This window comes from Homo sapiens, chromosome 5, assembly GCF_000001405.40.
Source record: "Homo sapiens chromosome 5, GRCh38.p14 Primary Assembly".
Classification (NCBI taxonomy): domain Eukaryota; kingdom Metazoa; phylum Chordata; class Mammalia; order Primates; family Hominidae; genus Homo; species Homo sapiens.
Genome location: NC_000005.10, coordinates 83,528,758 through 83,555,435, shown reverse-complemented (window position 1 = coordinate 83,555,435; position 26,678 = coordinate 83,528,758). Strand labels below are relative to the sequence as shown.

Sequence of the window (26,678 nt, the reverse complement as noted above, 5' to 3'; positions counted from 1 at the left end):
GCGGATTTCCAGTGAATTATTTAAGACGGAAAGGTATTTTTTTAAAATGACTTTTTCTGCTACATTTTATTCTTCTCTTTTTGCTCTGAAGCTAGAAAAAGCAAAGATAACCATCTGAAAGACAGACCCAAGGCAATTCTACTAATTGTCTGGTTTTCTGGTTTGATAGAAATCTGGTACACTCCTCTTTTGAAGAGAACCACAACTATTGAAGAGAGGACTGGATGTTGGATCAGGTAGCTTGGAACTCTTCTAACCCTTCTCTGTTTCACTGAGTGACCTTGAGCAAGTCATTTAACTTGCCTCCAGTCTAATGCACCCTCTGTAATGCACAATCAGTGCACAGTACCAAATTTCCAGAAGGTAGAACTTGACATCATTTTCAAGGGCATCTTACCAGTGTGCTGCCATCAGTCCAACGGAAGTCATGCTCAAACATCTTGTCATTGAGGCCTATCCACTGATAATCATGGCCCACACCTAAGGGATAGGAAACCACACAGATATTTGTACTACTTTTCCATATATGGATGAAAATATATCAAAGAAAATTATTTTCAGCATGAATCATGCATCCTCTTTACTGGCTGGATTTTTATTTAGTTGCTCATAAAAATCTCTCCTAGTCTACCTTTTGTTCTTCTGCCCAATGTGCTTTAAATGAAAAGGTTAATGTGCAAACCCTGTGAAGCATTAAAATATCAAGACATAGACAATAATTCCCCTAGCAATTTACTATAATTAAATTTTTTCCCACCCTCACTCATGATAGAAATTTTCTTTTTTTTATGATAGAAATTTTCTATTTTTTTGTTGTTGTTGTTTTTAAGCGATGCCATTGGCAAAAATTCAGTGACCCAATAAAATGTGCCAGATCTTATCCACGCTACCCTCATTTTGGAAGCCACTTGTTCCTTTTTTTCAAAACATTTTAATTAGTGAACACCTAGATTAGACAGTTCTACAGATTTATCCTCAAAAATATTTACTTTTACCATGAGGTGAGTCACTGGCAAGGATATCACGCAGTAAAGTTAAATGAACCTCTATCCAGATTACAAATTAACAAACTTCTAAACGATAGTAGGCATCACGAGAAAATATTTAATAGAACATCAAACAACGCTTCATGAGGCTGGGAATGGTGGCTCACGCCTATGATCCCAGCACTTTGGGAAGCAGAGGTGGGAGGATTACTTGAGGCCAGTAGTTCAAGTCAAGCCTGGACAGCATGGCAAGACACTACCTCTTAAGAAAATGCTTTATGAGCAACAAATTTCTACATATTGCTACATGAAAACTAGTTGCCCTCCTTTTTGCTGCAGTTGAAGGAGTTATTAAACAGCTCTGATATTAAGTTTCATTAGCTTTCAATCTCCACCTATTCAAGTTCTTAGGATGTAGCTCACTTTCCACAATTTAAAATATTTAGAAACTTGAATGAGAATCAATATGCCCAAAAGGTAAGATTAGGGTGCTATTATTAACAATTCAATTTTAATTAGCAGGACAAAAATAACTGAAAACAACTGTAATTTTAGACAGGCATATAAATATTCAAAATAGAGACTATGAAAGTATAACCATAGTAAGAATTCTATTGAGCCATAAGAAATAGCTGTTTTTGTATATTTAAAAATGATCAAATAGCAACTGCTTATGATTCAACCTACAGCAAGTGTTTCAACTATTACTGCTGGCAGACAAACCAATGCCTACCTATATTATAGTTGAATGTTTCCCCAAATGGGGGACTTAACATAGGTGAGATGATTTTAAGTAATTCACAGATGAGGGATTTGATAAGTTGTATTATGATTGAAAAAGCTACTTCTTTTCACTTGCACACAGACAAAACTAAGAGAGTGATGAGAAGTGAAGTTCCTGGAAACTCGTATCTATTTGGTACATACGATTAACAAACATTTGTTCTTCGTGAGACAGGATGCTTGTGAGATGGGCACCCTGCAGACGGCATTCCCGTTCAGCTGCATCCCATGTGCGTCGATGGGCAAAGTATTTGTAGCACTGCCCTTGGAATTTGTGCCAGCCATAGTCACATGTCTCGGTATCTGAGAAGAAACAGGCAGGAGCTTATTAAACGCACATACGTCATTCAAACTTGGCACCCCCAACCAAGTGTTAGTAGGATACCCAAGCCAGTATCTGTGCAATGTCCCTGAAGTAACTGATTCATAAAATTTGGTCACGATGACAAAGAAATTATTATGAAGTGAGCCCAACTGATTCGTGCCAAGTGGATGGCTATATATCTTTGGATTGCAAAGGCAGCATCTAACAGCAACTTCCTTGATTAAAGCCAGAGAAAACTGGAAGAGGGGCCAGCCAAAATCTCTTGGGCTGCTATAGCACTGGCTGACTTACTTGTGAAGCAACTGGGGCTAATTCCTTACCAACACAACTTTTCTAAGAGACTCATTCAAGTGATAGATAAGAGTTCCGGCTAATAGAATTATGAATGCCCTATTTGCATAACAACTTCAAAGGTTCTGGAAGTAGTCCTCTCCCATTTCCCAAAGAGATATCTGAGAAGTCACAGGCTCTTGTCATGTAAAACTGACAAAGAGAAAAAAATCCTTTATGAATAGGTACGTTTTGGGATACAGCTAGAACTGTATGCCTTCTTCCTAAAAAGAAGGGTAAGATAGGTAATGCCCAATGAAAATGCATCAAGATTTTAAGTTTATTAAAAATGAAATAAATTAAATTATTTAACTCACCCCCCCATTCCACCAGGTCATATACATATGTGTGTGTGTGTGTCTGTGTGTGTGTTTCACAATAAGCACACTATAACTGATATTCCAGTGGGACAATAATATTTTTCAAATATATCTAAATTTTACACTGGCAGTATCAGCTACACTTTCTAGGTTGCCAATTTTTACATAATTCCACAAGAAAGTGGCATTGTTCATAGCACTGTATTCTTCATTGGCAATCTTCCCACAGAATTGCTCATCCACAGGTGGGGTTGACTTTCACAAAATACACCCCACAATTATATTGAAGTAGTTACATGTAAAAACTAACAAAACTGCAGTTTATAGAATTTCAGGCACCAACAAAACCTTCCAGATGACCTAGTAAGTATCTCCCCCCACCCAAATTTGCTGATTAATAGAAGAAAACACAACCCTACTAAATTAAATAAATGTTTGCTTTATACGTTAGTTTTGGTGGCCAAATTGAAACTCAGATTGTCTCTTGACTCTTATTCCTGTTACTCCTCTTTCTATAACTGTGGGAAAGTATGAATTCTGAAAGATTTCATTTCTTTCCTGGCTTCAGTGATTAAAACCATACTCACACAACAGATGCAGCTTATCTGAGAGCAGTATTTATTTCAGTTTAGTCTATCAGGCCTGTTGTTTAGTTGCAGCCAGCTGACTAATTCTTTTGAGTAATGTGCACTGGAAGCTTTGCGTTTATTAAAGTGTTGTTTGGAGATCACCAAGTCTCATAGGAAAGGACTCAAGACACAGCTAGATGGTTTGGTATAAAAGTAGCACTCAGTGCCTCAAAATGAAGCAAATTTTGGCTACTTGGATGTAGTATTTCTGCTTTGGGGAAGTTCATTTGTAAGAATTTAGAGGTAAGGTGAGAGGGCTAGGAAGAACACAGCTCTTCCTATATGAGGGGGTTAGTTTACAGAGGAGGAGAATCAAAAAAACTTTTAGAACATTCTTACTGCCAAAGTAAATAATGTGATTTATAATGGCATAACTTTCCTTAACCATGGACATTAATTTAAGATACATGATGTAAAATTATGGAGGATCTTAACCCCTTGAATAATACATCAGAAAAAACTTTTCTACATACCCTTTTTTATCTGCTATTAACCCAATTGGTTTTAGTTTGGTTTCCCCTTTTTTGTCTTTTTTATTTTTTATTTTTTTTGTGGTGGAGTCTCGCTTTGTCACCCAGGCTGGAGTGCAGTGGCATGATCTTGGCTCACTGCAACCTCTGCTTCTCGGGTTCAAGTGAGTCTCCTGCCTCAGCCTCCCTAGTAGCTGGGACTACAGGCGTGCACCACCATGCCTGGCTAATTTTTGTATTTTTTGGTGGAGACAGGCTTTCACCATGTTGCCCAGGCTGGTCTTGAACACCTGACCTCAGGTGATCCACCTGCCTTGGCCTCCCAGAGTGCTGGGATTATAGGCGTGAGCTATCGCACCCAGCCCCTTTTTGTCTTCTAAATAGTTTATCATTAAGTATTTTTCCTCCTAAACAAGAAAACCCAGATGATCACAAAATTTAGATATGTGACCACTTCACTACTAACAGTGCCTGTCTCAGTTAGCAGATGCATACATTCCAATCAGAACACAGGTCCAAAAAATAGAGGCGGGGTTTCTGTTAAAACCAAACTGGGAAAATGCATTTATTTGTACTATCTAAATCATAGCTTCCCAATGACTATAAATATATCTGCAAAAACCACTTAGAGTGGTTTTTGTGTAAAAAAAAAAAAAACAAAGCCAACTATCCACATTGATTCACTTTTTTTTTTTTTTTTTTTTTGAGATGGAGTCTCACTCTTGTCACCCAGGCTGGAGTGCGGTGGCATGATCTCTGCTCACTGCAACCTCTGCCTCCCAGGTTCAAGCTATTCTCCTGCCTCTGCCTCCTGATTAGCTGAGATTACAGGCACCCGCCACCACACCCGGCTAATTTTTGTACTTTTAGTAGAGATGGGGTTTCGCCATGTTGGCCAGGCTGGTCTCGAACTTCTGACCTCAGGTGATCCGCCCGCCTTGACCTCCCAAAGTGCTGGGATTACAGGCGTAAGCCACCATGCCTGGCCACTTAAATTTTATTATTCATGAATTCAACAAATATGTAATGAAGGATCATTTGTCAAGCTGCATCTCCCAGGATGCTATTCTGATAGGAGATACTATTCATAGAAATAGTCTATTTGTTTTTTCAACCTTACCTAAAAATTATGTGAAACTCTTTTTATTTATTAAAAGGCAACCTTTGTGGATGACATTTTCTTAAAAATCATTCAATGCATGGAAAGACATCTTATGCTTTAAAACTCCTATAGGTTTTAAAGAGGTTACAAAAAAATAGGTTGTTTCAATGGGTTACAATACAAACCCAGATTTGTAGTGTGCACAGCTCCTGTTCATGAACATAGAAGGTGAAACTATCACAAACAAATTCACCAAAAATTTATTCTTTTGATGCTGTACAGGTAATGTTTTCAACCTCTCTGACATATAGCTGTCAAGTCCTAAGAAAGTGCCCATCCTCCACACTTCTCACTAGGCAAGCTGTATCACTGACTTTGGCAAGGGCAGTTTGTGCAGCCAGAACTGCCTCTCTACTGTTCCAATAGCCCTTTCTAGATTTTGTATCTGTAATTATTGCACCAAAATGTGTCCCCTATTTCGGAGTAACTGTGACTTGGGAAGTTACTAGTCAGAGAACAGAAAACGTCAGCTGAAGGAACACTGACACGGTCATCACCAAACTTTGGATAGAAAATTGTTTAGACAACAAAGCTGCTGTTAATGAAGAAAACATTTGTTCTTAGGCAACCTGAAAAGAGGAAAAAAATCTTTCAGTATCCTGGCAATAAATCACAGGAGCACAGCTGCACTGCGTAAACAGACTGAGATCGATGTTTCTCAGCAAAAAAATGTGCATGAAAATCAAACTTGCTTGAAAATACAATAAAAAGTACCTGAAAGTCAGGTGGCACCAGAAATAAAATTAATTAACACTTTTTACTTTCAATATTCTTTTGAAAAGAAAGAGAAAAGGTCAATGGCACCAAAGTCCCTTCCAAAAATCTGTTGCCACTCAATGCATCAGATAAACATATAAATAAAGTGTTTATCTTTGAGAGTTACTTTAGAAGTGTGAAGATATTCAGAGAAACTTGGGCTGTAGAGTTAAGCCATTTAGGTTCACTTTTCCCATTGTACGATTTACTAGCTGTGTGACATTAAACACATCACTTTTTTTCTCTGAGCCTTAATTTCTAGCCCACTGAATGCATAGAAATGCTATGCCAACCAAATGAAACAATGTGCCAGGATGCATTTGATAGTCTGTAAAGAACTAAATTTTATTCTCTGCCAAGAGTTATGCTAAGTCACCAGGATCAGAGACTTTGTTTTGTTCATATTTCTATCTCCAATGCCCAGAACAGTGCCTGGAAGACAGTAAATGCACATTGAAAAAACGATTTTTTGAATTGCTTCTTGTACTTGGAACTAACAGAAGCCAGAATCATGTTTAACATATTGGAATGTCTCAACTGTCTCAGGCTTTTGTTTTCTTCAACAAATGCCATCTTTCTAATGTTTTTACTTTAAGAAGAGGATCTTGCTTGGTCTATCTTTATATTCAAAATCTAAAACAAACAGATTTACCCTATGCAATAAAAAAAGAAAAAAACCAACACCTAAAAATGTAGCCATCATCCATCCACTTGGAACAGCAATTCAATACATGCTCCTTTTGGATTTGCATTCATCGCAGTGACATCCAGATTAACACCATGAAGCAGAATGTGGGACCAGACCAATGTGCCTGAGTGTCTAATGCATTTTCAGTTTGTCTGGTGGAATGGAAGTTTGGCACTGAACACTTTTATCAAAGCCAAACCACTGTACGAGTTTAAGTAGAGGAAATCGACATTCCAAAGCTGAGTGTGCTTAGCATGCAATCTGTTTCTTATTGATGGACCAAGAAATGCTCCCATTAACCACCTAAAATACACCCTCAGGTTGGCCGTAAAATGCAAATTACAGGGATCATGAGATTCAAGCCATCATGAACATAGGGCTTTCTTTCATTCAGAAAAAGTCAATCCTTCTTTAGTAGGAAAATTTCCTGGTGAGCAGATTCACAATATCTTCTACTTAGCATGTGCCAAAGCAAATGTATTCTAACAACTATATCAACTCATTCTCCAGATATGATTGACTATGAAAAATAAGTCCATTGAGTCTCAAGTGCTTAGGAGGAGAAAATAAAAACAGCTAATATTGAATTCAGTACTCCTTCGTACATGAGCCACAGTAAGGTCAGTGCTTAGTTTGTCCCCAAGAAAAATACATACGATAATATTCCTTTTATTGGCTGGATGTCTTTAAATTCAGCTCAGTTTGCCTGCCTGCAATTCCAATCTATCAGCTAAACAACCATAATCAAGTCAACACTATGATTCAGATGTTTTGAGCTATCCCTGAATAAGGAAACCTAAGGAAATGTGAATTTCCACTGCAGGAAAGATTATGCATTGAGGCCAAAATTGCTAAAAAAAAATCAATAATGTTCATCATACAAATGTTGCAATAGCTCTTACCTTGCTCACAAAGTGCACCAACATAACTTGGAAGGCAGAGGCACCTGAATGTGTTAAAACCATCAACACAAGTGGCTCCATTACGACAGGGATTAGAGTGACATTCATCAAAATCTGAAACAAAATAGTAAAAGCTCACAAAATACTTTCAAAAAGTATCAAAGAATTCCATTTAGTGTGAGGTTGCAAGATAACATACAAGACAGCCAGTTAAATTTGAATTTCAGATTTTAAAAAAAGTATAATTTGTTAGCATAAGTATGTCCGTGCCATATTTAGGGCAAACCTATACTACAAAGTTATTTCGTTTTTACTTGAAACTCAAATATAAGTGGCCATCCTGAATTGTTATTTCCTAAATTTGGCAACCCTAAGAAAATGTCAAAGGTATTCAGAGTAGGGCCATTGTCTCCATTGCTGATAAATGAATCAGATAAGCCCTAAAACGAATGAAGAATCAACAGCCCCAGCCTTCCCACCTCCAATCATGGCTCATTCTCTGATTACCTCACACATGGACTACTCAAAGTATCTAACTGGCCTCACCATCCCTAGGCCCTTTCCTCTCCAATATATCCATCACTCTGCTAAATGTCATCTTTTTTAGACACAGTCATGATAATTTTATTCTTTTACTTCCAAACATTCCATGGATCCCAATTGCCCAGGGCAGCAGTCTTCAACGTGAGCTCCCTGGACCACAAACAACATCAGCATCACCTAAGAATGTTAAAAATCCACAATTCCAATTCCACCCCAAATCTACTGAATCACATACTTTGAGGTGGAGACAACAATCTGTTTTACCAGCCCTCTGATGCATGCTAAGGTCTCAGAATCACTTGACTAGAGTGTGAAGTAACACTATTCAGTATCCTGAACTCAGGACCTTCTTAGACTGTCAGGGCTTTCTAGACCCAACCTGCCTTCTGGTACTGTCTCCCAATACGTCTCCCTCTCCCAAACCCCTAAGTAGGCATACCTGGATCGAGGCTGTCATTCAAATGCCTTCTGTAGTTTTTGGCCTCTGTGCTTTTGTTTGTTGTGTCCATATCTCCCTCCACCACCTGTCAAATCTTCCCAACTTTAAAATCTATGTCAAATAAAATCTTTCTACACAGATTCTAATCTTTCTACATATGATCTCCCCTGATGAAATTAGTGACTTTATTTCCATAGCATTTTGCAATTACACTAAAAATTTAATGTTTAAGAATATTTTTAAATGAATATACAAAGCAAGTTAAATTTCTTAGTCATATAATGTATTCTTACCTAAAGAAATGGTCTTAGTAAACATGATATTATATAGTAATAATACCAAACATGTTTATGGTGCTTGCTGAGTGCCAGACACTTTGTCACCCAGCCTGGAGTGCAGTAGCGTGAACACAGCTCACTGCAGCCTCGACCTTCTGGGCTTAAGCAATCTTTCCACCTCAGCCTCCCAAGTAGCTGGGACTACAGGCACGGTTAATTTTTTTTTTTTTTTGCAGAGGTGAGGTTCTGCCATGTTGCCCAGGCTGGTCTCGAACTTCTGGGATCAAGCGATTCGCCCACCTCGCCCTCCCAAAGTGCTGGGGTTATAGGCTTGAACCACCGCGCTGGCCTCGTTGACTTTTTTTAAGTACTCTTTTAATATGAATGTTGGGATTGTATCGCAATATTGATGTATAATTTAAAGTGCTATTGGTGAGCTTTCTTTACTCAATCATTGTAAGCAAATTAAGCAAACCTTCATGATATCTCTAAAAGGGACATCTGGACAACATATTTCATCATTCTTTTCTCAGAAGTGAGGTCTATATGTAGCCAAATCAACACTGGTGCCTTTTTTTTTTTCTTTAAAGAGAAGGATGCCTAAATAAGAATATGGGAGTGTGAGGGTCAATTATATTCCTTGGAACCAAAAGAGAGGCAGGGAACAGCAATTGCACAGCTCCCTGAGGCCGAGGCACGTTGGGCTGGTTGCTGGGAGTCAGGGAAGGGTCTTTCCCATTCCAAATGAGAAGAAAAATTATCCCAAAACTAAGGACAAAGCTCTCTAACTTTTATTATTTTCCTAATTTTTAAGTCTAGCTTTCTAAAAAGATTTTTATACTGAAATTGATTTTTATTTATATGCAGATTTGGGGGATAAATGTACATTTTTGTTAATATTTATGCATTTTTACATTTGTAAATTCTACCTGTAAAAAACACAAGAAGACTCAGCAGGCCTCACTGAGTCTTGGTTACGTTAACAGAATTCACTGAATATCTGTACCCATTTTCCAGCCCCTAGTTAATTACCCTCAGATTTTAACTTCATTTAACATATAATTAATCTTCATATGGGTTTCTTTGAAATCTCTGATTGATTCGACAACATAAATTCTCCCCCAATATATCTTCTGTGAAAGAACTGCACCTTTTCAGCCAAGTACCATCTTACCAAGTTCACACTGGTCTCCGCTGTATCCTGGCACACAGGTGCATACGTAGGAAGTTTCAGTAGGATAACAGGTGCCTCCGTTAAGGCACGGGTTCATTTTGCAGCGATCAGGTCCTACCATATTCAGGAAAGTAAGAAAAGCAGTTAGGCTCGTCTCTAATGTTTGCGTGTATTTTAGCATAAAACGCCCCATATTGCTACCATATTATAGGCTTTACCATAGCAATTTAGAGTTACTACATATAAAAATTAACATTAACTTTACTCTCTGGAGTGTTTCTTGGCATTATAACTAATTGTTACAAATTGCATCTATTCATTTCTGGGATTCAATCACGATTACTCTTAAATGATATTTTTTGTACTGTATCTGGCAACTAATATATTCTACTGCAGATTTAGTTGGCATGATAATGGCAATTGATTTTAGTCAAAAATGATTACACATATGTGCACAGTGAATGGAAAATGTATTCTTTTAAATGGGGTTAGTTCATGTGAAATGGCTGGATACACAGAACATGCATTCTTTTTAGCAGGTTGGCTTGTTATCATCATTTGAATTATTATTGCCTTTTACCACTTAATGCTCAGAAACTGTTTTTCTTCGAAAGTGTGCACTGAAGTCTCTTCTGCTACATTAACATGCTTTTTCCAAAAACACGTTCCAAATGTACTCCTTTAAACTATACTTGAAGAAAAGCAACACATGGATTAAACTCTACTGTAGAAAAACAAACCCAAATACAAAAACCTCACCTAAAATGAAACCCCAAGTTTTTATTATAATTTTCTTATTAAAATACAAATAAAACCGACACTCCTGGGAGATAAATATGAAGGCCGAAGACATAAATTTATGAGGACAAACAGTTTAAATATATTTTCTAAGTGCAAACACTTTTACACCACTTGAAGCATATATTTTATATTGCAATATTGCTTGGATAAGTGTATTTTCATTGAGTTTATACTTATTCTTTGTATATTGTTTCAGACTTGCTTACATTTCTAAATCTTCAAAGATCCAAATGAGAGTTGAAAGTTTTACAAAATAATTGAAATAAAATAGATTATCTATGGAATACACCCATACTTTCAAGAATCTTAAGTCCTGAAACCCTGAAATAATTACACATGAAAGAAGAAAGATGTCTAACTTCTTATGAAACATTAGCTTAAAGAATATCAGGATAAACAAGGTACTGCTATAAAAGATAACTGAGACTTCCCCACACCAGAAAGTCAAACTCAAACTTTCTGAGTGTTAAGTAAATTCTGAATGACTATAAACCTGGATAGGTACACATTCCCATGTTTGGGATTCACGTTAAAATTAGGTTAATTCAGATGAGTACATCAACTTCTCCAAAAACTCCCCCGAGTTTTCTAAGACACTTTTTCCTATAGTTCCAAAACTATTTGAAATCTCCCTAACAATTTTAGCTTTCTGAATTTTAAAGTACAAGTACGCTCGCTGCCAGGATGACAAGGCTGCAGTTAACACACGCCATAGCCACATGCTGCCCTCTGTGCTGAATCCAAATGACACTAGGTGAAAGTGCTTTATCAGACTGTGATGTGCCACACAAATGTGAAGAAGTACTATTACTATTCCTACCACTGACACTAGACACCATGCTGAGACCATGAAACAAGGACTGAGTGAGTGAGTCTTCCTGTGAACTGGAAGTCGTTCCAATTAACAGGAAACTTCAGTTTTTATGAATGTTATTCTCCCCTAAACAGTTCGTATTAACCTCTGAAAGTTGAATCTGCAACAGATAGACCAGGTAATCCCATATGAGCTGCTGTTTACTGAATTAAGCTAAAGTGACCATTTGTTTTGCAATGAAGACGCAAACTATAAATCTTGGTAAATATTGTAAACTGGAAAATTGGTACATATTTCTCATTCATCAAACTTAACTCTATATGTACCTAGTTATTACCAGTTATTTTTACATCATATTTTTAACAAACTGAAGTATATTAAACTAAATTAAAAAACAATAAATATTAGCCAAATTACTAGATTATCATTTACAGATTTAACACACAGTGATAACAAAAAACCCAATGTCAACTACCTTTGATCAATTTTCCTCAAAATATTTCAAGCCATTTATTAAAAATTGTACTTTCTATTTTACTCTTTCTGAAGCACATCAAAATAAAGCATTGGTGGCACAAAAGGTAATATTGATATGATCAGAAGAATAATTTTAACGATAGTCATGGCATAAAACATATTAAAATAAAACATATATTCTCAACCAAGACAGACATTAAAGTACTGATTTTTCTTCCTCTTTTTGCAGGTAGCAGCTAGGTGGTGATGTCTATTTGTGGATTCCACTGACATTGTTAATTTAAATAATAACATTATGGGAAAACACCATTAGAGCTGATTTCTTAACATTCTCAGGCTAGATTAAGAGGAAAATAAATTCTACAAAGTAAATATTCCAAGATTCCTGGTTCATATATTATTCAATATCAATTGTTTATTTTTATACTATACTGAAACCAGCAAAGAGCAGTGAAAAGACTATGGACTTTAGAGTGGAGCTAAGCTGGGTTCAAATCCTACTTTTACCACAATGTGGCTGTGCCACCTTGGGCAAGTTGCTGAACCTCTCTGAACCTTCACCTCTTACCCTTTCACACAGGGCTTTTATAGCCTTTTCGTGGCAATCAGAAGAGATGGCTTATATGAATCAGTATCAAATTCATGCTTTCCATACATTCAGTAAATACACAGAAAACTTCTCTCAACAGGCAGTATGTTTATATAATAAATGACTACTCACTACTGGTAGGCACTGTGTTTGATGCATTATGTAGACTGTCTTAAACAAGGACATTGCATATAAGTATGAGCTGATATTGATACTGCACAAACTCTGAAATAATTATTAGAGCTACGTACTACTCCCAAATGTTAAAGGCCTGACAGATTTTGATACTACAGCAATAGCATCCATCAATGGGAGGGTTTTTAAAAATAGGACTTTTTTTCTACTTTTAAACCTAACATGTATAACTATGAGACATATGACAAAGCAATACTCTAGTTGTGAGTAAAAACAAATTGAATTTTTATAACATTAATAATTTCATCTTTTCCATGTTGTAATTGTATATTATTTCTAAAACCCAGAAAAATACAAAGTCTACTTCTAAAGTCCAAAACTAATCTATACTTACTGTCATTTCATCTCATTATGAACTCAATACTGTGGCCTGGCCTGCTGTTATGTGAATAATATGAAACTCTCCATTGATTTAACATCACAATAAAAATTACATACATATAAACGTTAGCACCAAGGGACTGTTTCCAGGTTTGGAAACAGATTTATCAATGTTGTGATCTTACCTGGTAAATAGATTGCCGTGCCTTCCACTGACTCTTCATTAATGCCAATCAGGAAATCTGTTTCATTAGAAGTCTCCAGAAGGGAAAATGGTGGTGTTGCAACCTCAGTATTAAATTCCACAGGGTTTACTGTTGCCTGATCATTGGAATCAAGAATTCTCGCTGCCACTTGCTGTTCTGATGCTGCTATCGTGGAATCCTGCCCTCTGATTAAAGCTGCTTGAGTTTCAGGGTTTATTTCTGGAGAAGAAGAAAGCGTGGGCCTCTCAGAAGTCTGTGGACTTAGCCAAGGCACCACACCTGCCTCGACCCCATAGGTGGCAGAAGCAGAAGTAGAGTGTGGCCACTGTGTAGCACCTTCTAATTCAATTTCATCGGCAGTTGTAATAACAGTTCCAGCCTCAGGTGTTTTAATGGTGGGAAACATCTTGATTGCTTCTCCAGAAACTTGACCATCGGTTTTGTTTTGGAAATCTTGGAGAATCTCAGTTCCTTCCACAGCAATAAGTTCTGTGGGAGAAGCTTCCATTTCTTCTAATAACTCAGGTTTACCATCATCTTCTGAAGGTTCTAATTTTGTGTCAGGAGATAAAGAGGGAGGCTCAGTTATGTGAAGGTATTCCTCACTTGATGGTTTGAAAGTCGCTTCAATATTTACATGAATTTCCTTAAAAGAATCCTGTGGGGACATTACAGATGAGCCGACGTCTATTCCTGGCAGAGCACTGGGCTGGGGGATCTCTGTGTGTCCAGAGGCTTCACTGCCTGAGTAGATAGTGAGGGGAGATGATGGTGTCTGAGAAGACAACTTCGCAAATGTTGAAACTGCTAATGTTGTATCAGTGTAATATGGGGGATTGGATCCTTCCATCACATCAGGCACCTCTGTTACACTCTGATCCATAAGGTGGGTAGTAGCAATACTTAGATAGGGAGTATGGTCTACTAATGCCTCCTCAGCTCCTGAAGAGAATTCTGGCTGAAAAGAAGGACCAGCATGTTTTTTGTCTTCATACTCCTCCTGAGTCCTTTCAAATTGGCCCAATGTTGGTATTATTTCACTTTGGTCTGCAATAGCTTGACCATCAGACAAAGTGCTTGATTCAAACATGTCATCCAGGGCTTTTGCTTCAGCTTTTATTCCTTCAATCTCTGGAATAACTGTGGCAGACTTACGAGGAATTGGCAGGGATGTTGCCGTGGGAAGTAAAACGTCTAATTCTGTTTCTGTGCTAGGAGCAGGGATCCCAGTTGTGAAGTGAAAGCCCATGTGATCTAGTTGGCTTCTATCTTCATAAGTCATTGATTCATCATGTGTTGCCTGAGTGTAGCTAGCCAGAACATCAGCAGAGCCCTCAAATGTTTCCTCAGTTAAAGAAAGGTTGACAGCTGCCTCATAGATCTCTTGAACTTGAGTGCTGTCATCATTACTTTCATCATTACTGTCATGTGGTTCTGATGGTACCTCTGTATCTATATCTGTTTGCATTCCAAGAATGTCTTCATACACAGGTTTAGTATGATCAATATCTATGATAGTATTTTTATCCGATGTCAGCTCAGGTAGAATTTCAAGGATGGTACTCTCTGTAATTGTCAATATTAAATCCTTGTCCTCTTTGTCCAGGTCTATGATAATATTTTCAGTGGGTTTTTTTCTGTTAGGTTTTAAGGTGGAATCCTCGAATTCCCTGAAACGGTCTTGGAAACTACCGTCTGTGGACCTCTCATATGACACTGTATTTGACAGTGTGCTAGTTGGATCAGGGGAGCTTTTGTTCTGCTCTGAATGAAGAGGCAGCATCACTGAAACTGTTGGGAATCCATCAGCAGTAACAGCTTTAGCGCTTGGCACCTCAGGATGTTTTTCCAGGGACCCATCAGAAACAAATGTGGTGCTGCTTTCTTGTCTGGTTGCCTGAGTAGTTGCAGAAGTGTGAAATGAATCAACAATATCCACTTCTCCAGATCCTTCTCCAGAAGGTTCATAATACAAGTCAGATGGTTTTGGTGCTGATGTAACAAATTCTTTGGCCATTTCAAAACCATAAGCTCTAGCCAGAAAATCAGTAGATGAGGTTGTTGTTTCGTTAATTTCTGCTGTTGAAGAATTCTTGTTAGAGTCTTGTTCAGTTATGGTTTGTGGTCTACTAGTCTGGATTTCTTCTGCCCACCTGACAGTCTGATTTTGAGGATGTCCGATGTCCGTGGAGAAAGGGAGAGGTGCCACCGTGGGTCCTTCTGCTCCAGTGTCACTTAAAATTTCTATTAATGTTGTGCTGGTTACTGACCCACTACCTTCAAAGATGTCTGTTTGAGATACGAGTGGTCCAACTTCTTTTGCCACATTTTCCATTCTGTTAAAGTCTTCAATTTTGTCACTTGAGGTACTTTCCACTTGAGAAGTGTGGGGATATAATGTGTTATTGATTTGTTCCACTTCAGTAAAATTCACTGACTCTGTTGGTAGAGTAGGTAAAACTTCTTCTCCTGATCCCAGTCCAGAGAATAAGAGCTCAGTATCTGACTCTTGAATTGTTGGTCTCATGCCTTTCGGAAAATGTTTTGTACTTTCTTCCTTTTTGATTGGTGAATCTGTGACTACATGTTCAGCTGGTATAGATTCAGTTACTAATGCAGTAGCTAAGAAAAAATGTGACTTTTCAGTAGCTTCAGGGAGAGTTGTGTAAGATTCCAAGCCATTTGCATCTGGATCTGGAGTAGACATGTTAACTAAAGAAGTGTCTTCCTCCTTCATTTCTTTATCATCACTGTAAGTTTTCTTTGTTGTTAGTACAGAATAATCTGTGGTTTTGAGTTCAGTTTCAGTAAATGTCTGTGAATCAAAGATTGTTTGTTCTGTTGCAGGAGAGTTTTGAGGGGATTCAAATGACTTTTCTTCTTGAATTTGTTCCTCTGATGTTGTTTCACTTTCAATTTCTTGTCTTACAGGGTTGACTTCTTGCCTAGACCATAATTTGGCTGGCTCTATAGTTTGGGGAAAGTTTGTTGAAACTGTGCCACTGACCTTTACTTCCTCCTTCTCTACTGGAGCTTTCGTACCTTCCACTTCTGCTGTTGGTAAAATGGTGGATCTTCTATCAATTTCATTGACAGTACCCACTTCTCCCAATCCTTCGTCGATAATGGAGGAAGCTGTACCAGAAAACTTTTGCACAGCACTGGGAAGCACTGGAACAACAGAGCTGCTGACTGTGACCAGTTGCTCACCTGAGCCCTCAGCTGAGGATGTAAACTCTTCCCAGGGGAAGGCTGAAGTGCTGACCATGGTGCTACTGGGTCCTTCTGAGTCAGATATGTGACTGATGTGAACTGAAGTAGGTACTGTAGATGGTGAAGTCTGGGTGTCCCTAAATGCTGCATCTCCAGAGCCTTCCATCATTACCGTTTCTTCTTTTGCTATGGGATGAGACACTGTTGAGTATTCTCTAAAGTCACCACTGAAATCTTCCTCCAAAGGAAAACCTGTGGAAAAGCCCCTTATTTCTGCCCCATAATTTGGTTCTCCTAATCGCTCTGAAATCACTATTTCCCTGGATGTTTGGGTTATATTTTCAGCAACTACTCTGTCCATTACTGTACTCAAAACCAGTCCTGTTGGCTCAGTGGAGAATGTAGTTTCCACATGCGGAGACAAAGTGCCAGCTACTTCCTTTTCGGCTTGAATTGCATACTCTACGTTTAATGAAAATGAAGAAACAGTGGTGGTTTCTGGGTCGGCAGCAGCTTCTCCAGAGCCCTGCTCCATAAAGACAGAGGCAGGACTACGTGGGAGAGTGGTCAGCCCTTCCTGAACCCCAGGTTGATGGATACTGCTGTGCTCAGTGGTCTGTGCCCCCAAATTTTCTAATGTATTTGTTTCTGTAAAGACAGGAGTAGAATCTGTCATTTCCCTTTCAGACTGTGTTGGTGTTGTCAAGGACATAAAACTTTTCCTGGTACCTGAATCACTAGATGTAGCTACATTTGGACTTTCTAATTCAAAGGGTAAAATTAATTGATCCGATCTCTGTGTAGATGAATATACCTCAAATGTAGAAGCCGTACCTGTAGTTCCCTCCTCCTCCTTCCTTTTCTTTTCCTCAACAGTGGTACTGGAAATCCACTCAGAAGTGTCTGTTTCACTTACAAACTTGGTAGGCACCACTTTTGCAGAAGGTTGTTCAGAAACTGGATAAATGGTGGTTGCAGGAACCTCAAAAAAGCTTTCTGTGATTATCCTGCTAGTGTCTAAAGTAATGAGTGTATCAGTAGTATTTCTCTGTGATAAATCAGTTACCATGGTGAACATTGTATCTTCATCTTCTTCTGCTTCTCCAGAGCCTTCTGTAATTGGAATCGAAGAACTCCCTGAGAGCTCTACAACTTGTCTAGGAGTTGCTTCTACCCAGCTTTCTTTGGTAGACAACAGGTCATCTGGCCAAGGATTTCCTATTAGGGTAACTGCTTCTTCCTCTGAAACATATGCTGATGCAGAACTTGGAACTATAGTGGGAGTGTATGTGACAGAAGTACTTTTTTCTACCTCTTCACCAAATGTTACTTCTGTAGCCCTTGCAAAGGCTATTTTCTGAGATTCTTGGTCAATGGCAATCTCTCCTGAAGACTCTTCAGGAAACAGAGATACAGGTTCAGTATGTTCATGTGCCTGATGACCAACTTCAGTATCTCTCTCTGTGACTGATTCTGCCCCTTTTTTGGCTGTTCCACTTTCAAATTCCTCATGGAATGGGACTGTGGGGAAAACATCAGGCTCACCACCTGAAAAATGTTCTGATGTTTCAGGGTAAGTCTCAGGCTTCCATGTAACTTCAAGAGACTCAGTTGTTTCTGTAGATTCATTAGGTTGCACAGCAGTAGACAATTCCGTTTTGGCTATTACAAATGGATGAGTATCACTTTCAGAGCTGTCCGAGAAATTCTGAGAAGGTGCAACACTTTCAAACTGGCCACGCCTAGCTTCTGCAGCTTCTGGGTCCTTGGGCACAGTGGTAACGAGATGCTTCCCATTTATGTACTGCACAGATGGGGTGGTTGTCACATCAGTAGCATTTGCACACTCTTCTTCTTCTTCTTCATTTTCTTCACTGTGGTATAGGTCTATTTCAATTATGTCAGGGAATTCAGGTAAAATTTCAGCCATTAGATCATGCACTGGATCTGTTTCTTCACTACAAGGTTCATCTTCTTTAGATTCTGAATCTATTGGATGACCAATTACACTCAAATCACTCATTCGACCTGAAAAAAACAGAGTTTTCACAATACTTAAATAGAAAATTTGGCAGTGTATGACAGAAGAAATTGATAGCAAGGCTGGTCACACCCACACACACAAAGAAGGATTCAAATCTTTTCATAATAAGTGCAATCACCCTCTTATATGGTTCTCAGTCTTCAAATTTACTGTTTTTGTATTAACAATAAGAAAAATGAATTCAATTTAACATTATTAAAACAGGTTATAAAGACTCATCAACACATTTAAGAAAACAACATAGTCCTTAAAATGAAGCAAGGAATCACATATACAATGTAATCTTGAAGTGCAGGAATTCATCTTTGTGTGAACTGCAAAAAGAGTAAAATTAAGACTATTTCATATAAAAACAATTTAAAAATTAAAAATTGAGGCCATATCATATAGAATTAATTACTTTTTCTATAGCTCTATTTCTATATATGATCTATATAGAAAAAGTAATTGTCCTTTATGTAAGGGAATAATTTATACACTCTCTATTCAATAAGAAAATGAGAAGAGATTCCTTCTGGCCCCTTTATAATCTGTTCTAGAGCAGACTGTTTTATGGAAAAACAAGAGAGCTTTATTTATAGCCCTTTTACATTGCAATGGCATCCTCTACCTACTGTGGCACTGAGACATGAGCTTAACCACATCCTATGCACAAGAGTGGGAAGCTCTGGATAGGCGGGCTCTATTGGAAATAGCTCACTGAAAGGACCAGAAAGAGCCTTCCACACCTATAGACCTTTATCCTTCCTGGGATGTGACCCAGATTAGGCTGATTTTAGTTCTTGTCATCAACATCTTCTCAAAGAAAGTTCAGGAGTCCTATCTAAATATTCTAACTAGCATTCCTCGAAAAGTATGTATCATCAGAATATTTCCCAGATTGTAAATTGCCATATGGTACCAACCACTAAGCTCAATGGCCTTTTCTGCTATCAGAAATACATCAGCAAAGCTCCTTGTCTTGGGCACTAGGAAAGAGGAAATTCTGAGGTCTCATCATAGAGGCATTCAACTGTCCTAGAACAGGGTCCTGCCACTGCAGCTGCCTTACTTTCAGTGACAAAGCAGTATGAAAATGTGCCTGTGGATATACTGACCCATAAAGAAGACAAAGAATTTACACACTACTCACCACCCTGCCCATAGGAATAATACTACAGAATGAGTTTTCAAACTATCCCCAATCTATAACACACATGCATAGGCCAAACCTGAGAAGTGTTTAGGAGAAATCATTATGACGGAGCCAACCCTGCTTCCCAACCTATCATCTAAAGGGGAGAAAACAACTGTTTTCTCCTGAATTGTTCCTGTTGCAAGAAGCTATTTCCTTCTATGTATAGAAGAAACAATATCTAGCTTTTGCTGTTTCATCAGAGAAGAAAAAACCCTATTGAAGAGGAATCAGTGTTGCTTATATTCTAATCTATTTTATGAATCAAGACAAATATAGAAGTGTAGGAACTACCAAGACAAATTCCACAGAAGCTCCTTGAATTTTTTTTAAATTAAAAAACCCAGACAATAAGACTTTTATGTAATGCAAAGACATATACATTTATCCCTTTTATTCTAATAGAAACAAGAAAGAAAACTCTCTTTTGTATCCCACCACATCTTCACTAAATTATTTCACTAAAATACTTCTGTGTAGGACTGGGTTATTCTTATCCTAACTAAACACCCTTCCTATTGAAATTTTACACACTACAGTTCATTTCTTCTCTCTCCATTCCATTCCATTCTGTATATTCAGCTTTTCAACTACTTAAACTACAGCATATGGGTATTCAAATAAATGAGAAAATATTTCTACCACAAAGAGAAGCGAGATAAATACATAACTCTAGTGTGTTATAAAAACATAAAATGAATACAGATTATTTCTGACACAGATGTTGCAATTGTTACTAATTGCTCAGTGCAGGAAAATGATTAAATGCCTTGTCATTTAAAAATATAGGTAACTAAAAAGACTAGGTTTCTTCAATATTAGGTCACTAAAGTTGTTACTCGGATCTTATATATAGTACCCATGGTGTATATGTTTTAAAATAGGACACCATAAAATATTCAGATGATAACATCCTCTTAATTCAGTTTGCATTGAAGGTAAACTTTGTGCTATGAAAACAGAATGTGAAGAAAATGTTTAAACTATATGAGCAGAAGCATTTAAAATGCCTTCTGTACAAAAGAATCTCTTGAAATATTCACATCAATAATTTTATCCAAGCCAGGAGTCTCTCATTGCTAAAACTATTTGAATATAGTTGAATTAAGCCAGACTCAGTTAAACTATTCAGTACAACTTCATGGGATTTAACTGGAGTTTAAAAATGTGCATATCTTAAACTGCTCACACTACCATTTTACATGCAAGCAACTCTTTTATTTTGCTTCATTAACTTAAATAAAACTAGAATTCATGATTAAGAAATATTAGACAAAGGTACACTAAATTCTTACTTACCCTGTTTGGTGACACCAAAACTTTCATTTAAGTACAGAGAAAAGATTTTAAATAAGAAACATGGGTCAGTGTCAAGCATATAAAGAACCTCTACCATATTTTGTACCCTTTTGTAAATAATGAAGTTAAAACGAGCCATTCAGCTGGGTTTCTCCAGCAAAACACAAGGATAAATAAGGAAATATCTGATTAATATTGTATATTTACAAACTCCTAGGCCAAGAATAGGGTAAGAACACTCATTGCTATTATAGATTTACTTGAATTTCTAAGTAAATTCTTTACTTCAAAAAAATAAGACTGATACAAACATATCTCATGATCTTCTTATTGAGTAATTACAGATGGAAGTTCTGTCAAGTATGTTGGTGGCTCTAAAAAAAGTGGGGTGGAGAAAAGCAGAGAAAGAAGACACAAAGGTATGCCAACATGTCACATGTCAATATGGTAAGAAACTGATGGATGGTCATAATGCTCACTGAAATTTTTTGTTTTCCTCTGGGAAAGAAAATAAAGAAGAACTCTAATTGTAAATCAGTACTGTATAATAATTTAGCTAACTATCAACTCATATTAAGAATACTTAATTCTACTAAAGACCATGGCATTCACTTTATAGTTTCTGATTTTAGCTCCAATTAACAAAGTATAATATTCTTTTAGGTCATATTTCTCTCAGATCAAGAACTCTAACACTTCCAATTGCTCATAGATCTATAAGGACTTCCTTGCCATTTTAGACTATCATATCAGAATTTCTCACCAAAAACCAACTCAGATGTAGTAAATTCCATTTTCTAACCTAAATAAATATGATAATGTTTCAATCACAGCAGTATAAGCATTTCAGAGACAGAATCTTTGCATACATTTCACAAACACAGCATTGCTTCATATCGGTTTTTGCACACAAAATTAAATTCACTACCACCACAACCATGCATGCTGCCCAGAATGTAATATCTCTTCAGATGCTCATTGATTTCTCAAAATTTACTGAGTACCTGTTATGTATCAGACCCTAGGGCAAACACTCTCTTGTCAACTTCAGAGAGACCTAACTATACTTTCCAAGTCTCTCCTTGCCCCCTTCCTCTCTCTCTCTCTGAAACAAATGTTCCTGCCAGTAAGTTAGAGAACTGGCCTTACTAAACTCTTTTCTCCTATTTTAATGGGAAACTTTTGGAATGTACTTATTGCAAATGTACTAATCATTAAATTTAGATTAGGATTCCTTTCTCCACCCACCTCGCAACTATTTGATCTGACTTGCCTTCAAAATGATAGAAAACAGAAATGTATTATGCAGTTTCATCTTATGTTTCTCATCATGAAGCTGGCAGCACATCAAAATAAATTAAGTAATTGAGAAGAAAATCTACATATAAATAAAATAATATGCTCATTTAATAAGTATGATAGAAATTTTCTTTTTCTAAAATAAACTCTATTGTGTATTTGAGGTTTACAATATGATGTTATGGGATGCATATAGATGGTAAAAGGAAGCAGATTAACATATATACCATCTTTTTGTGAGAAGAGCAACTGAAATTTACTTTTTTAACAAAATCTCTAATACAATGCAATTTTATTAACTACAGTCTTAATTTTGTATATTAGATCCCCAGAAAAAAAATTGTCTACTAAATGGGAATTCTTTAATTTCAAAAAATATGCAAAATGGGAGTTGAAATTATTTTGTTTCCTTTTTCTGAAAGTAATAGTCTCACAATTAAGCAACTATTATTATTCTTTAAATAAGTTCGCGACAACTTGCAAATGGTTTTATTGAATTTTTTTTTAGACAGGTTGTTGATCTGTTACCCAGGCTAGAGTGCAGGGGTACCATTACAGGCAGCCTCAAACTCTTGAGTTTGAGCAATCCTCCTGCCTCAGCCTCCCAAAGTGCTGGGATTACAGTGTGTACCGCTGCACCTGGCTGGATTTCTTAATATCAGTTTGAAGGAGAGAGAAATGTTAATTACCCAGGGCTTTCAAGTTAAAATTTTCTGCTGACATTTCCTATACATACAATCTAAATTTTATTCTGTCAGTATAATTTCTTCCCATACTTTTAACATCTCATAGCAGGGAGAGGTGGGGTATAAAACCTATCTACTATTAATATATGCAGATAAATTTTTCCCTGCCCTATCACCCAAATATTTGTCACTAACTCCTTGCATCTCACCAAATCCTACTTGCCCCCTCTTAGTTTATTCTTCCTCTGAAATTACCTCTTCATCCCCATTTCCTGTCACCACCTCCACCCACCACACACGTTATTAGAGAATCTCAACAGAGATTATTGCAAACCAGAAAAGTTTCTTTGCGGTGTATAGTAAGGGGGTTGGGGGGTACACCTGTGCTACTGTGAGAGGAGGTATCTCATTCCGAAATGGAGATGTGCTCTATTTCATAGGAACAGAGCAACCCAATGGTGTAATTGACATTTCAAGCTCTTAGATGAAGCTCTTAGTCTTATAAAAGACTGCTCTATTCTAGAATTTTACTCAAAAGGCAATATAACTTTTGTTTGGATTTCAAGAATCAAACCACAGAACTCTACAGGGTGTATGCATAATCTTTTCTATGTTTATATGAATGTATTTTAACAGCTTGACTTGAATATAACAGTACCATGGTTAATAGGCTTTTTTTAATGACATTTCACACAAAGCTTTATTGCTAGCTGACCTCAAATTATTCACAAGTATTTTTAAGTACTTCATAACAAAGTTTTGTAGACAGAGCACAAGTCTTCCAGTCATACTGTTACCAGACACAAAACATAGTTGCTAAGATGCATAGGCAGCTGGTTAAAGTTCACGTTCTCTTTGGGGAATTTTACAATTTAAGTTTAAGAGCTTTTAATTAAACGTAAATGTACACCAATCTACTCAGCAGAGATATATTAGGATCACATTTCTTTTTTAAAATGGATTTTATTTTAATGTGTAACAAAAAGATTTTGTTTTCCTATTTAAAAAATACAATAGACAGCCGTCCCGAAGTGCAGCATAGTGAAAATGATGATTATACTATATTCCAATATACTCTCCAGAAATATACATTACCTTTTCACTCTCTCATCTTAGAAAAAACAAAACCTCCAGAAACCTACTATGTGAAGCATATGGCCAAAGTAAGTAAACTAGCCTTGTGAGACACCAGGGAGACTGTACTACAAGGTAAAAAGATAAAATCACTAAAAGCCACTCATGGTACTTACTGTGTACTGGTTATACATGTGTATAAACAAGTTTGGGTATACCACAGTGACACCGTATATCAACTTTTCATAGACATAGATACTGAAATACAATTAAACTTTTCCTCTCACTCCAGAGATTCCTTCCTTCTAGTTTAAAATCTCCTTTTTAATACTTACATTATTTATGGAGAAGCAAAAGCTGTATACATTACCCAATCATTCTAGCAGTTACTTAGAAGGTCCACCAGAATTTATTTTCCTCCAAAGGATCAAATCACTCTTTTTAAAAATAATTATATCCATCTTCTTGTCAATGGATGTGTGTTTCCCTCCTGATTCACACTCAAAAAGTCTAAATACTGGCACTCTCTCTCTAAGGAACACGATTTTTAATGTAATCAAATGAGCTCTCAGATGACCACATGATGCCCCAGGATGAAGGAATATTCTTATATTTTGTATCACCTCAATTAGGTTGTAAAAAAAGTTCAAATACTTCTATAGAAATGAAAAAATAGTTTCTACTAAAACGCATCACCACTCCCTCATCCATCCCACCCTCACCAACCTGGGCCCCATTCTTGGAGCTATTCGCTTAACAAAGCCACTTAAAAACTAACATTTTTGTACATGAAACACTGACCTCAATGAAAAGTAATGTTATACATTTTCTAAAGTGACAAAAATAGGCAATGTCTTTTTTAAAGCATAAATTTTTCAGCTTTACCTCATTAAAATGGAACCTCAGCCAGCATTTCTTTCTCCTTTTCTTTTATTCCTATTGCTCCTCTCACTAGGCATGTCTCTCCCCTTAGCTACGCCCCTCACCCACCAAAAAAGTTCTGAACACTGTCTGGACCTGTGAGTACATTTTTTATTCATTGCACAAATGAACGATCTAAGAGCTATTAAGAAAGAAGAATGTAATCCCTGTGTAGAGAACTGGGGGTTTCCTTGACAACAACAAAAAGACAGCAGGGAATGTCCATTCATTCTATAAATATGCAAGAAGCTAGGCTCAATACCTGGGGAAATGTATCAAGAATTTGTAAAATGATGTTTATGAGAAAAAAATTAAATTGGTAGTTATCAAAATCATAAGCCCAACTTTCACAACTGAGGAAAAGCAAAAAGCTAATAAATTCTACTCTTAGGTCCTATAGAGCCAATACTATATTTAAATTTTAAGTAAGGGCTGCAGCTGCTTCTGATTTGCACCCAAAATGGCACCACCCAAAAAAACACAACCTATGTCGGGTTCGGATTTTTAAGAAGTTATTTCAGTTAAGCAGACACTAAAGTACAATTATACTTGGCTTCTTGTGGCATAAATGATCTTGAATTTTAAGATCATTTGGCTTTTACCTATTTAGAACAAAACAGTCTATATTTTCCTGTACTTAGAAGTTGGAAATGAAATAATTTTTAAAGCCCACAGGAGATTAATTTGTACTAAGTCATTACTATGTATCAGGCATTGTGCTTGGTGCTTTCTAGTCACTGAAGGAGTATTAAATATGTGAAATGCCTGTCACAGTGACTTGCATGTGGCAATCACTCAAAGATCCCCTTCTTTAACCAATGTGGTGAGGTTGTAGTATTATTATAAATTTTTAATTATATAACAACTGAGGCCTGTGGAGGTTAAGTAATTTATACAAGACCAAACAGACTGTAAATATAGTTATCCCTCAGTAGCCATGGGGGATTGGTTCTAGGAGGATACAAAAATCCATGGTACTCAAGTCCTTTTTTATAGAATGGCATAGTATTTGCAGGAATCCTACGCATACATTCATATACATATACTTTAAATCAGGTATTATAAGTAATCATTTAAATTACTTATAATAACTAATACAATGTAAATGCTATATAGTTATTATAGTGTGTTGGGTTTTTATTTGTGTTATTTTTTATTGCTGTATTGTTCTTTTTTATTGTGGTGCTTTTTTTTTTTTTTTCAAATATTCTTTATCCATGTTTGGTCAAATCAGAGGATGCAGAATTGTGGATACAGAGTGCCTCCTGTAACAATGTTGACAGTGAACCCAGGTCTCTTTCCAAAGGCTCTTTCTATCACAATAACTGCCTCTTCCATGTATCCTACAAAGCAAACTAACTACATCTCCATGTTGGTTCAGAATATTAACCAGAATGTACTTCAAAAAAATCCAGTTCTAATGTAGTTAGTATATTGTAATTATTTGACTGTTGAATAAATTAGAAAAAATATATCTGTATATTACCTGTATATATGTGTGTATACATATATGTGTGTGTGTGTGTGTGTGTGTGTGTGTGTGTGTGTATCTTTGTTTCATAAACCCTGTGATTTGGAGAAAGAGTATGTGTCAGAGCTTAGGAAATATCATTCCATATAATAATAGCCATTTTACCATGTTAAAAATTCTGACAGAGAAATTGAGAAATCCCTGGGTCCACATTGCACATAAGCAAAGGAGAGACTGACTCCAGATTCCCTAACTTAGAGCACCTGCTCTATAATCCTACTGATTCAGTATTCACTTGAATTAAGATGT

At 36.9% G+C, this 26,678-nt stretch overlaps 1 protein-coding gene and 1 long non-coding RNA gene across 5 annotated transcripts in view, besides 1 other annotated feature; one reads left to right on the top strand and one right to left on the bottom strand.

Moving 5' to 3' along the window:
- The window catches only part of VCAN-AS1 (VCAN antisense RNA 1), a 30,963-nt gene extending 6,879 nt beyond the window's left edge, over window positions 1-24,084 (top strand). Inside the window, exons 2-3 of the long non-coding RNA NR_136215.1 lie at window positions 21,263-21,337; window positions 24,020-24,084. This is a non-coding gene — a long non-coding RNA (VCAN antisense RNA 1). The remainder of the gene's footprint in view (window positions 1-21,262; window positions 21,338-24,019) is intronic.
- Window positions 1-26,678, bottom strand: part of VCAN (versican) — a 110,559-nt gene that overhangs the window by 26,867 nt on the left and 57,014 nt on the right. For 2 of the 4 annotated variants that reach the window (NM_004385.5, NM_001164097.2), the window contains 5 exons: window positions 13,168-18,429; window positions 9,786-9,899; window positions 7,352-7,465; window positions 1,914-2,072; window positions 398-480 (listed from right to left, as the gene is read on the bottom strand). In NM_004385.5, the coding sequence (NP_004376.2) occupies window positions 398-480; window positions 1,914-2,072; window positions 7,352-7,465; window positions 9,786-9,899; window positions 13,168-18,429 (5,732 nt within the window). The remainder of the gene's footprint in view (window positions 1-397; window positions 481-1,913; window positions 2,073-7,351; window positions 7,466-9,785; window positions 9,900-13,167; window positions 18,430-26,678) is intronic. The other 2 variants (NM_001164098.2, NM_001126336.3) reach the window with 1 other exon arrangement.
- Window positions 90-1,289: an enhancer, noted in NCBI's record as "BRD4-independent group 4 enhancer chr5:82849966-82851165 (GRCh37/hg19 assembly coordinates)". NCBI's record gives its function as "activates an origin of replication core promoter dependent on BRD2, P300/CBP, MED14 and CDK7 cofactors, and independent of BRD4, by STARR-seq in HCT116 cells {active_cell/tissue: HCT116}" and the evidence as "EXISTENCE:reporter gene assay evidence [ECO:0000049][PMID:35650434]".